This window comes from Homo sapiens, chromosome 13, assembly GCF_000001405.40.
Source record: "Homo sapiens chromosome 13, GRCh38.p14 Primary Assembly".
Classification (NCBI taxonomy): Eukaryota; Metazoa; Chordata; class Mammalia; order Primates; family Hominidae; genus Homo; species Homo sapiens.
Genome location: NC_000013.11, coordinates 112,528,241 through 112,541,672, shown reverse-complemented (window position 1 = coordinate 112,541,672; position 13,432 = coordinate 112,528,241). Strand labels below are relative to the sequence as shown.

Here is a 13,432-nt window from a genome sequence, read left to right as displayed (position 1 = left end):
GTAATTTGCAATACTTCTGTCTTGAGATTAATTTAGTTTGCATATTTTTCACAACCAGGCTTTTAAAGTACTCCTTAGTTGAACCACCAATTCATTATATTTGTCTGTGGTATTTTTTTTTTTTTTTTTTTGAGACGGAGTCTTGCTCTGCCGCCGAGGCTGGAATGCAGTGGTATCATCTTGGTGCACTGTAACTTCTGCCTCCTGGGTTCAAGCAATTCTCCTTCCTCAGCCTGCTGAGTAGCTGGGATTACAGGCACGTGCCACCTCGCCCAGCTAATTTTCATATTTTTAGTAGAGGCGGGATTTCACCATGTTGGCCAGGCTGGTCTTGAACTCCTGACCTCAGGTGATCCACCCGCCTCGGCCTCCCAAAGTGTTGGGATTACAGGCGAGAGCCACCACGCCTGGCCATTTGTCTGTGTTTTTAAAGGAGTCCTTAAAGGTACCGCGAGTTCTTTATTGATTCTCTGCCTTATGTGTTATTCAGGCTTGTGTATTCATTTCCTTTCGTGATAGTAATGATGGGACTGGAGAGTTGATAGGGAATGCAGAGGGAATTGGGCAAAAACTGATAAATCGATTTTCTTCTGTACTTTTTTCTTTAATATGTTTAAACTTTGATTCATTGAGGTGAGACAAAAGCAGACCCTTAGGACTAGTGTGGTTTAAATTTGGGAAACTTTTTTGAAGCACTCTTGTTGCTTAGAATATGTATAAGGCTAATGTTCATGTTTTATTTATTTAAAAATAAAATAATGCATGTCTATTGAGTATAATATTCAAATCAGCATCTCAAATTATTAATGAACTTACCTCAGGTCTTGCCTCATTGGCAAAGATTTTCACTTTTAAATGTTTTCCTTTTGATTTAATTTTAGACTTAGAAAAGTTGCAAGAATTAATGCAAAACATTCCCAGGTGTCCTTTCCCAAGACCACCTGAATGCTCACAGGCTACTACATTGATGTCATCATTCCCAGGTGTCCTTTCCCAAGACCATCTGAATGCTCATAGGGCTACTACATTGACGTCCTCATTCCCAGGTGTCCTTTCCCAAGACCACCTGAATGCTCATAGGCTACTACATTGACGTCCTCATTCCCAGGTGTCCTTTCCCAAGACCACCTGAATGCTCATAGGCTACTACATTGATGTCATCATTCCCAGGTGTCCTTTCCCAAGATCACCTGAATGCTCATAGGGCTACTACATTGACGTCCTCATTCCCAGGTGTCCTTTCCCAAGACCACCTGAATGCTCATAGGCTACTACATTGACGTCATCACTCCCAGGTATCCTTTCCCAAGACCACCTGAATGCTCATAGGGCTACTACATTGACGTCCTCATTCCCAGGTGTCCTTTCCCAAGACCACCTGAATGCTCATAGGCTACTACATTGACGTCATCACTCCCAGGTATCCTTTCCCAAGACCACCTGAATGCTCATAGGCTACTACATTGACGTCATCACTCCCAGGTATCCTTTCCCAAGACCACCTGAATGCTCATAGGCTACTATATTGACATCCTCATTCCCAGGTGTCCTTTCCCAAGATCATCTGAATGCTCATAGGGCTACTACATTGACGTCCTCATTCCCAGGTGTCCTTTCCCAAGACCACCTGAATGCTCATAGGCTACTACATTGACGTCCTCATTCCCAGGTGTCCTTTCCCAAGACCACCTGAAGGCTCATAGGCTACTACATTGACGTCATCACTCCCAGGTATCCTTTCCCAAGACCACCTGAATGCTCATAGGCTACTACATTGACGTCATCACTCCCAGGTATCCTTTCCCAAGACCACCTGAATGCTCATAGGCTACTACATTGACGTCCTCATTCCCAGGTATCCTTTCCCAAGACCACCTGAATGCTCATAGGCTACTACATTGATGTCGTCATTCCCAGGTATCCTTTCCCAAGACCACCCAAATGCCGATAGGCTACTACAATGATGTCATGATCCCTGTCTTTTTTTTATTTTAAAGGTTCTGTATTTACTGATGCACGTACCTAGGGTCTGAGATTAGATAGAGCTCTAGGAAGTTCATGATTTGTAATTTTTAAATTTGCTAGTCATTTTGTCCAAATAGCTCTTTACACCTGAGATACTCTTGTTTGCTTCACTAATTTTGCTTGTAGGTTTTTTCAGAAATGCATTGTGATTGATGGAGCTAAAATTAATCTTTCTTGACATAAAGTATATTGTGTTCTTTGCCATGGGTCTGCTATGTTTAGTACTGCAATACCAGTGGGCATATACCACCTACCGGTTTATCTCATTGTAACTCATCTGACTACTTTATCTCTGTGGGTTTGAGCTCAAGAGCTTAGGTTCTGAAGTCTGATTTGGGTCTGGCTGTTGGCTTCAGGTTCTGATGACTCTGTATCCTGGGCAAATACCTTCACCTCTCTGGGCCTTCCCTTCCCCATCTTCCAGATGTGTGTATGATAGTGCTTGTCTGGTGTGATTTTGTGTATGTGTGAAGATTACATCAGACCAATAGGAAGTGTATAGCGTATCTGCTGCTACTTTAAGGAGAACATTGGATAAAATTTGAATATCTTCTGTCCCTAAGATGTCTGTGGGCTTTGTCTGATTTGTTTGTAGTTCTCGGACATCTGTTTTTTCTGTTAGACCCTACATTTATAAATATCCATTTAAGTCTTTGATTAGTTTTGGTGAGGTTCTCTTTAATTTACTCTAAGTATTAATAACATCTTTACCCTAAGAATTTGGTAATTTAGACAATTACATTGTGTGTTTGATCACTATGTAATTAAAATGTGGAAATTTTGTCTCTTTGTTTCTTCTATAGGTTAATTTTTCCTTAGTTTCCCTAATGGGAATTATAACTTTGTTGTAAAATTGCATTTTTTTCAAGTGTGTGGTTAACTCTAAATAGTTATAAGTGAGCTTTATAATCTTTCATCTCATAGTAATTTATTGTATATCTATATAAGAAAATGCTTCTTTTTATAATAAAAGTGCAAAATATCAATAAAGAGATAGAAATTGTAAAAAAGAGCCAAATAGAAATTCTGGAGTTAAAAAGGACAATTACTGAAATGAATGAACTCACTAGTGGGGCACTACAGCAGATTTGAACAGGGAGAAGAAAGTCAGCAACTTGAGTTTAGGTCAATTGAGACCATCCAGTCTGAGAACAGAAAGTTAAAAGAGGGAAGGAAAATGAACAGAGCAAAGAGACCCAAATTTGATGAGAAACATTAATCTACACATTCAAGGAGCTCAGCAAACTCTCAAAAGTAGGATAAACTCACCACAGCAAGACACATTTAGGTTGAATATCTCTTATCTAAAATGCTTGGGACCGGAAGTTTTGGAGTCTGGATTTTGGAATGCTTGCATTATACTTATGTTCAGCATCCCCAGTCAGAGAATCTGATATCAGAAATACTGCAATGAACATTTCCTGTCAGTGTCATGCTGGTGTCCAAGATGCTTGGATTTTTTGAGCATTCTGGATTTCAGATTTTGAGATTAGGGATACTCAACCTATATAACCAAACTGTAGAGAGACAGAGCAAATCTTCAAAGTGGCAGGTGGGAAAACCCATCACACAGAAGGGATCCTCAATAAGATGAATAGCCGATTTCTCATCAGAAACTGTGGAGGCCACAAGGTGGGGGAGAATACATTCAAAAGGCGGAAAGCAAAACCATGATGATTCAAGAATTCTGTATCCAACAGAATTCCCATTCAAAAATGATGTCAAAATCAAGACATTTCTAGATAGATAAAACTTGAGAGAGTTCCTAGAAGCATACGGACTACCAAAATTGATTCACAAAGAAATAGAAAACCTGAATAGACCTGTAACAGGTAAAGAGATTGAATCATTAATCAGGAAACTTTAGCAAAGAAAAGTGCAGGAGCCGATGGCTTCTCTGGTGAGTGCTACCAAATATTTAAAGAATTAACAGCAATCCTATTTAAAGAATTAACAGCAACCCTTCTCAGATTCCTTAAAAAAATAGAATAGGATGGAATACTACTTAACTCATTTTATGAAGTCAACATGATACAACACACAAAAACTACATACCAGTAGTTCTTAGGAATATAGATGCAAAAATCCTCAGTAAAATACTGGAAAACAGAATTCATCAGCATAGTAGAAGGATTGTACACAATGGCCAAGTGGAATTAATCCCAAGAATGCAAGGGTAGTTCAATATAATCAAAGTCAATCAATGTAAGACATCTTACTAAGGCAGTGAAAGAAAAAATGATCAACTCAACTGGTGCTGAAAAAGCATTTGATGAGATTCAGTACCCTTTTATGATAAAACAGTCAAACTTGGAATAGAAAGGAACATAACTAATAAAGGGCATCTGTGAAACACCAACAGCTAACATCATACTTAAAGATTCCATGCTTTCTTCATAAGGTCAGGAACAAGACAAGGGTGTTCACTCTTACCACTTCCTTTTAGCATTGTTGAGAAAGTTATGGCCAGGATAATTAGTCAAGGTTTTTTTTTTTTTTAAAAAAAAAAAAAAAAAAAAAGGAAAAAGGTAAAAGCATCCAGATAGCCAGATTGGAAAAGAAAAAGTAAAACCAGCTGGGTGCAGTGGCTCACAGCTGTAATCCCAGCATTTTGGGAGGCCAAGGCAGGAGCACGGCTTGCGGTCAGAGTTTGAGACCAGTCTGGGCAACATAGCAAGACCTTCCTCTCTACAAAAGATTAAGAAAAAATGAGCCAGGTGTAGTGGTGCACACCTGTAGTCCTAGCTTCTTGGGAGGCTGAGGTCAGAGGATCACTTGAGCCCAAGAGGTTGAGGCTGCAGTGAACTATGATTGTACCACTGCACTCTGGGTGACAGAGTGAGACCATGTCTCCAAAAAAAAGTAAAGCCATTTCTGTTCACAGATACTTGATCTGATTTATAGAAAACTAAAGAATCCACACATACTTTATAATAAAGATTATATATAGGTAGAGAGGTGTATGTATAGCTGTCTAATGTATAAGTTCACCACATTGGCAGGATACAAGCTCAATAACAAAAATCATTTATATTTCCATATACTTTCAATGAATAATCCAAATATGAAATTAAGAAAATAACTCCATTTAAAATATCATCTAAATAAGTTAAATACATAGTAAAAAATTTAACCAAGGAAGTGCAAGACTTGTACTCTGAAAAGAATAGATCATTGTTGAGAGGAATGAAAAAGGCCTAAATAAATGGAAAGACATTCTGTGCTTATGGATGGAAGATTTGATATTGCTAAGATGGCAGTGCTTCCCCAACATGAGACACACTTTCAATGTTTGATATTGTTAAGATGGCAGTACTCCCCCAACACGAGCCACACTTTCAATGCAATGTCTATCAAAATTCCAACAGCCTTTGCAGAAATGGAAAAGCTGATCTTCAAATTCACAGGGAAGTACAAGGGGCCCTGAGGCCAAACAATCTTGTAAAAGAACAAAGTTGAACAAATTTTCTGATTTTAAAACATGCTACAATGCAAGGTAATCAAAACAATGTGATACTGGCATAATGATAGACCTCTGGGTCAATGGACTAGAAGCGAGAGCCCAGAAGTACATCTTCATTTTTATTGATTTTCAATAAAGGTGCCAAGATTACTCAATGGAGATAAAAAGCGTATTCAGCAAATGATAACAGGACAACTGGATGCATGTAGAAGAATGCATTGGGATCTCTGTCATACACCATATGTAAAGATTAACTCAAAATGGATCAGACACCTAAATTTAAGGGCCAAAGTTATAAAACTTAGAAGAAGATATAGTGGTAAATCTTTGGGACCATGGATTTGGCAGCAGTTTCTTAGATATGTCATCAAAAGCACCAGCAGTGAGAACAAGTATATCAGGCTTTATCAAAATAAAAACTATGTATATTAAAGGGCACTTTTGAGAAAGTGAAAAAAACACAGAGTGGGAGAAAAGTATTTCCAAATCACTTACCTGATAATGGTCTAGTATCCCATCCCAAATACATAAAGAACTATCACAACTCAACAAGAAAAATCACCCAGTTTAAAAAGGGTTTGAGAAGATATTTCTCCAAAGAAGATACAAAAATGGACAATAAGCACAGGAAAAGATTATTATTATAGCGAAATGCAAATCAAAACTACAATTAAATACCACTTCACAGCCATTAGGTTTGTTAACAAAAACAAACCAGCAGCCAGAAAATAACAGGTGTTGGCAAGGATTTGGAGAAATTGGGAACTGCATCGTTGCTGGTTAGAAACACAGAATGGTGCAGCCCCTCTGGAAAGCAGTTTGACAGTTTCTAAAAAAATTAAATATGGATTTACCATGTGACCCAACAGTTCTACTCCTAGGTATATACCCAAAGAAATGAAAACACGCATTCGTCTAAAAACTTGTCTATGAACATTCATAGCAGCATCATTTATAATAGTCAAAAGTGAAAACAGGTCCAGTGTCCATCAACTGATGAACTGATAAATAAAATGACGTATATCCATACAATGGAATATTATTCAGCCTTAACAAAAAAATGAAAATCTGATACTTGCTACAGTGTGGGTGAATCTTGAGAACATTGTGCTCTGTGAAGTAAGCCAGACACAGAAGGCCATATATTGTATGATTCCATTCGTATGAAATGTCCAGAATTGGCAAATGCGTAGAGATAGAAAGTAGTTAATGTTGTCAGGGACTGGGGCTGGGGAGGCAGAGAGGAATGAGTGACTGCTTAATGGGTACGGAGTTTCTCTCCAGGCTGATGAAAATCTTCTGGAGTTAGATCATAGGAATGGTCGCACGACCATATTGTGAATATACTAGAAGCCACTAAGTTGCACACTTTAAAATGGTGACTTTTATATTATGTGAATTTCCTCTAAAAAAAAATGTAGAAGTTCCGAAAACACAAACGCTTGGTGAGGGATGCCGGCTACGGTAGCTCCTGTGGCTCCTTTCCCGGGTCTTCTTCCTCCCTGCTAGGTTGAGGTGCTCCTGTTCACCATGGCGTCGCCGAGCGCAAGTAGGGCTCTGTAGCTCTCAGGCTGCACATCTGTTTGCCACACATGGGGCCTTGCAGGAGTTTTTTCTGTTTTGTTTTGTTTTGTTTTTGAGACGGAGTTTCCCTCTGTCGCCCAGGCTGGAGTGCAGTGGTGCGATCTCGACTCACTGCAAGCTCCACCTCCCGGGTTCACGCCATTCTCCTGCCTCAGTCTCCTGATTAGCTGGGACCACAGGCGCCTTGCCACCACGCCCGGCTAATTTTTTGTACTTTTAGTAGAGATGGGGTTTCACCGTGTTAGCCAGGATGGTCTCGATCTCCTGACCTCGTGATCCACCCCTCTCGGCCTCCCAGAGTGCTGGGATTACAGGCGTGAGCCGCCGCGCCCGGCCGCAGTAGTTTTAATGTGGATTGATATGGGCATGAGGATTTCCAAAGCCCCGCGGTGTTTCTGCTGTGCACTGAAACTTGAGGACCCCTGGTCTATCCACCCTCCGATTCCCTGCAGCAGCCCCCGGAGTCGGGCGGGGACCTGCAAAGTTTGTTCTAAACTTGAGGTGATGGGAGGTGGCTGAGTTCAGAGTGCCACCTCCTTCCACACCAGCTCTGCATACTCATCTCCCTTCCACACTCGCAATCCTCTGTGCAGTAGTGCAGGCTCCAAGAAATTCCCTTGGAGGGAAAGGGTGGGAAGGGAGTGAGGGATAAAAGACTACAAATTGGGTGCAGTGTACACTGCTCGGGTGATGGGTGCACCAAAATCTCACAGATCACCACTAAAGAACTTACTCGTGCAACCAAACACCACTTGTTTCCCAAAACCTATGGAAATAGAAAATTAAAAAAAAAAAAAAAAAGAAATTCTCTTAGAAAGAACTCTGCTTTATCTAGTGTGTCCAAACTGAATATCAAGTCAGTGATGTGGTAATATGCGGGCTTATTTTTTAAATAAATAAATAAAATTTAGCACATTAAGGGTTAGTGCCTATTTCAAAGCACCTGCAACAGCTCAACATGTGATGTGAACTGTGTGGTTCCTGTTGACGACAAAGGCACGGGTGCTGTGGTTTGTTAGTCACATTTATAATTGAAGGAAGAGATAAATTTCAGATAGAGGTTAGTGAGGTTAGTGAGGTTAGTGAAAATAAAGATGAGATTATTTTTCCTCCCAAGTCCACAGACCCCTGCTGTGCTGTCTGTCTGTGGCCCTGGTTAAGGGAGGCCCAAGTTGGAACAGGACCCAGGGCTTTCCTTTGACCTGTGCTTTTGCAAACATGAGAGATGCATGGGCTGGGCATGGCGCTGGTGTGAGAGCTGCACCTTCTGTAGTGACCCGAAGCCTGAATTCACCTTGACCTCCAGTTCCTCCTGCCTGGGAGTCGGTGGATGCCTGCTGAATGGTGACGCGGTGCGTCTCCCTCTTGGCTGTGTCTGCCCAGAGCCTACTGCTATTCCTCGGGGACTTCCTTGCGTTGGGCTCCTGCCAGTCTCAGGGACCTCTCGGTCTCTCTGTTGATGGCCCAGCAGAGCTCATTCCACGTGTGAAGGCTTTCTCCTGTCTTCCTTCCTGGAAGCTCTTTGAGTGCCAATCATGGCTGAACACTGCACTGCCTCTCTGCCCAGCTGCCTCTGGGCTTGGCTGATTTGCAACTGCAAGATGACAGAAAAACTTCCAGATGACATCTGGGCTTTGCTATGTCTGCTGTGGTATCATTGAAAGCTGCCTCTAAGTCTAACATCTGGGATTTTACTTTTTAACAATAAAAAGGATATAGACCTTTAGCCCACTAGTGCTAAGAATGGTATCTAAATTTTGTTTTTATTTTATTTATATCTTGTATATTTGCAAAGGCAGACAAAAGTAGAAGGCTATAAGAGTTTGGAAGGTATTCCGAATGATTAAGTTGGAAAGCACTTTCAGCATTTGGGGAAAAGTTTATATTTTTTGCTCTTAAATGTAAGTACTGTAAAAGTAAACCAACTTTTTCCATTGTGTTACTACTATCTAGAGAAGCTGCATGGTGAGTCCTTTCTGTAGCTAACCTGGCTTCTTCCCCCATAAACTTAAGGTAAACAAGTTATGCCAATATATTCAAGTTAGAGGCAGAACCACTCAGTTTCCATTTGCCCTTTGGATAGTAAAGATTAGGTGCTTCAACTAGCAGCAAGAAAAGATGGGTCAAGTTAAAATTAAACTTGCTTTCAAAATTAGATTTCCAGACTTGATTCAAATGTTTACTTAAATGCTGTGATAATATTCTAAAACTCTACGTTCTTGAATTTGAAGATCCACAAAGTATGGATAAGATAGAATATCTCTGGATCTATTTAGCACTGTTGCTGTGTTACTGAAATTTAAAAGTTTACCATGTAAAATATCTTAATGTTTTGGAATTTTTATGCCATACCTCTTGAAATATTGTAATTATAAGTTTACCCTGTAAATTATCCTTTGTTGTACAGAGAATCTGACCAATTTACCCATTCCCCTGGTCCGGTTGCCATTTTATTGTATCTAAGTGTGGCCTTAGGAGAAATCTCTTGGTAGCTGCCTGCGTGATTGGCAAGTTGAAGTTGGAATTTTTTATGGTCTGTATTAATGGATCTGATTCTCAGAAGTTGCTTGCTAAGAAAATTACCCTCTTCATTTCTGTTTTTAGTAGGGAGGCCTTGGCATTTGTCCAGCAATTAATGAGAAATCATGGTACAATTATGTTTTATTTTTTTTCTTAATTCTTTCTGCGTTTGACATAATGGTGAAAATTAAAGAACCTTGAGTGGAAAATGCCTTAGTAAAATAAAAGCGTATCGCAATTATATTCTGACCTTGGTTTTTTTCCCTCTATAACTCTATATTTTTCACAGAATTAATTATATTCTAAAGCGTACCCAAGCTGTGTGCTTGCTACGAGATGTTTGCTGCTGGAGTGATTGCATGCTCCTTTGCCCTTAGATGAAGCAGTGCTTTCATAACTTCTAAACATGCCTGAATTGCCTGAGGTTTTTTATGGCTTACATTTTCTTTATTGTTCATACTGATAAAAATCCGGCTGTACTCCAACTATTAGGATAAATTAGTGTGTTGTCTGTAGAAACGAGCTCTTCTGTCTAACTGAATAACAGACATACAATTTATATGCAGTTAATCTAATCTGTAGCATGGCAAGCTACAGAGCAGTCCCAGCATGAGCGCGGTGACTTCGTCACTGCCGAGATTACTCAACGGGGGCTTATTTCTGTCATGGACAATTGAAGTCTAGGTTAAGTCGATGACGCCTCCGTGATAGTACTGCTGTTTACCCCTGAAGGGCAATATAGATCTCAAAAGGCTAAAATAGATCAGTGAATGCTTCAGTCATTTACATTGATACTTAAAGATAAGACATTTTAGTTGAAAATAAACGTAGCAGCCTCTTCCCTATGGTCATAAAAATGTTGGCACTTATTCATGTGCCTACTTACCAGGAGATTGGCTGTACATAATTGATAGTGTCTGGCCCTTAAAAGGATCAAATAGAAGATTTTGACATCATTAAAATTTTGTTTCCTGAAATACTTACTCTTGGAAGTAGATTTCTGTGAAAGAAAAAAATTCATTTTTGGTTGGTTGCCCTGGGAAAATGACGTTATTTAAAAAACAACAATTTACTGGTAGCATGTGTTCAGTATTTGGCTAGAATTACTTGATTCTTTTATTAAACAGTGTTTTTTTTCTAATAGAAAAATATTTGCAGTTTAAACAATGTTGATCACATAAGCACATACAGAGGATAAAGTTAAAATTCTCCAGTAACCCTGTCAGGACCAGACACATTCTGTTAATATTTGTATATACTGATTTTTTCTGTGTATTTGTGTGTATCGTATGCGTAGTATATTGTCAACTTGTTCAAGTAAATAATGAACATTATTTTATGCCATTAAATTTTTTTTTGACACCAAGGCTTATTAAAATGATCTCTGAAACTCTATTTTGTGAATATAATCGTCCCATGGATTACGAGGGGAATTGGTTCTAGGACCCCTGTGGATCCCAAAATCCACACATACTCATGTCCTGCAGTCGGCCGGTGGAAGCTGTGGGTTGAGAAAGCGGGCCTCCCGCACAAGTGCGTTTCACACCCCGAGGATGCTAAGTTTCTGTGTGCGCCGTTGGTTGGAAAACATCCACCTATAAGTGGACCTGCACAGTTCAAATTGGTGTGATTCAAGGGTCAGTTGTATATGCGATTTTTTCCTGGGAAGAACTATACTTTTCATCAGATTGTTGGAAAGGGCTGTGGTAGTTAAGAACAATCTATTTTTAATGACTACATGGTAATATTTTGTAATTCATTTATATATTCCCTTATTTTTAAGACATTTAGCATAGCATATTAGAAGTATAATATATGCTGACGAAGAATATTTTATTCCAGTAATGCAAGTATAACATTTTATTTAGAGTTTATTCATATTCACAAATGAGACTGTCCTGTAATATTTTTGGTATTTTTCTAATCACATGTGCTAGTGTTATGCCAGTTTCATGAAATCAACTGAGGCCATCCTATGTGTATTTCTGTGGCCTAGAATACGTTAAGCAACCTGAGAATTATGTCTTAAAAAGTGTTAGTAACCCTGTGCCTTAGTGGTAGCATTTTATATTTCCAGTTTCTTCTGAAGATACCGTTTTCAGGGTCTTCTCTCTCTTGCTTCTTGGGTTACTTTTGACCATTACATTTTGCTAAGAGATCGTTAATTTTGTATTGCTATGTAATTTTTAAAGATATTTGGAATTTATGGAAAGATCACCAAAAAGGCACTTTGGGTGTGATACGACTGAAATGTGTTTTACAGTCTGACTGGAGAACTCAGCTGCCATGCATCACAGGGCAGTGCTGAGTCTTAGGCCTTCTGGCTTTTAATTGAAAATACTGCCAAGTGCTGAGGTCATGGTCCCGGTACCATTTCTCCCTCAAAGGAAGTAGGGCTCCTTGGAGAAGTGGCTGATTCTAGGTATTGGGAGAGACAGAGCTAAGCCTAGAGCACCATCTATAGCAGAAAAGTAGGGCAGACCACTGGGGTCCAGGGTGAAGGACGCAGGAGCGGCTTGAAGAGGCTCCCCCTCCCCACATAGGAGATGGGGAGCCCCAGGAAGAGCATAACTGTGATGGAGGAAGCACTGGACACGCTTAAATCCACGCTCTCATGATCATAAAAAACGAATTGGTCATCATTGGAGAATGTAAATAGAGGCATTATCAGATGCTTCCTCAGCATTTTTTGATATAGTCAAATGATTTCCTCTTTTAATCTGTTGATATAATTAATTCTGGTGATATTAACAATTCCTGATGAGGCATCCTTAGCTCAGAGGAAAGGATGGTGTATTCATTAAATGGGGCCGGCTCGGCCAGTAAAGAAAAAAATGCCATCCAGGAGAAGACGTAGACTTCCCCCTTATAACATACTGTGTGCCAGGATTATACCAAGTTCCAGAGGAATTAAAGATCTAGGTAATAGGCCAGGCATGGTGGCTCCTACCTGTAATCCCAGCACTTTGGGAGGCTGAGGCAGGCAGATCGCTTGAGCTCAGGAGTTTGAGACCAGCCTGGGCAACATGGTGAAACCCTGTCTCTACCAAAAATGCAAAAAATTAGCCAGGCATGGTGGTGTGCTCCTGTGGTCCCAGTTACTTGGGAGGCTGAGGTGGGAGGATGGCTTGAGCTGGGGAGGCAGACGTTGCAGTGAGCCAAGATCATGCCAGTGTACTCCAGCCTGGGCCACAGAGTGAGACCCTGTCTCAAAAAGAAAAAAAAACAGATCTAGGTAATAAAAATAACTCAATAGAAATACTGAAAGAACATGATGGACAATATTTTCATAATCTAGGAATGGGAAGATCTTAGGAAGACAGGAAACTCAGAAACCATAAAGGAAGACTGACATTTATCTACATATAACAAAAAAATAGATCAGAACTAAAATATGGACCATACTATAAACAATGGCAAATGATTAACTTGGAAAAATTAAATCTCTAATATTTAATGATTCACAAATGGTCACTATTCCTAATGTACAAAGAATTTTTGTATATTGATGAGAGAACAAAATGAATAGCAAGATGGGTCAAGGGCATGAAAAGACCATTCACAGGAGAAGAAAAGCAAATGGCAATTAGAACTATGAAAATATGCTCGGCTTCATTTTTGGTTAATGACAGCAATATAGGATAACCATGATTCCACCTGACTGGCAAAATCTAAAATGAGCCAGGATGCAAAAACAGGACATCTTGCCCGTGGGAGCGTCAGTCTACACAGCTGTGTGGAAAGGAAACCTGGCATTGTCTATAAAAACTAAAAGCTACTTTAATTCAGCAGTTGTGCTTTTATAAAACAAGTTTATAGAAATAAAAGTGCAATTCTATT

At 39.7% G+C, this 13,432-nt stretch overlaps 1 protein-coding gene across 11 annotated transcripts in view; it reads left to right on the top strand.

The window, feature by feature from the left end:
- Nucleotides 1-13,432, top strand: part of TUBGCP3 (tubulin gamma complex component 3) — a 120,620-nt gene that overhangs the window by 63,958 nt on the left and 43,230 nt on the right. The window lies entirely within an intron of this gene.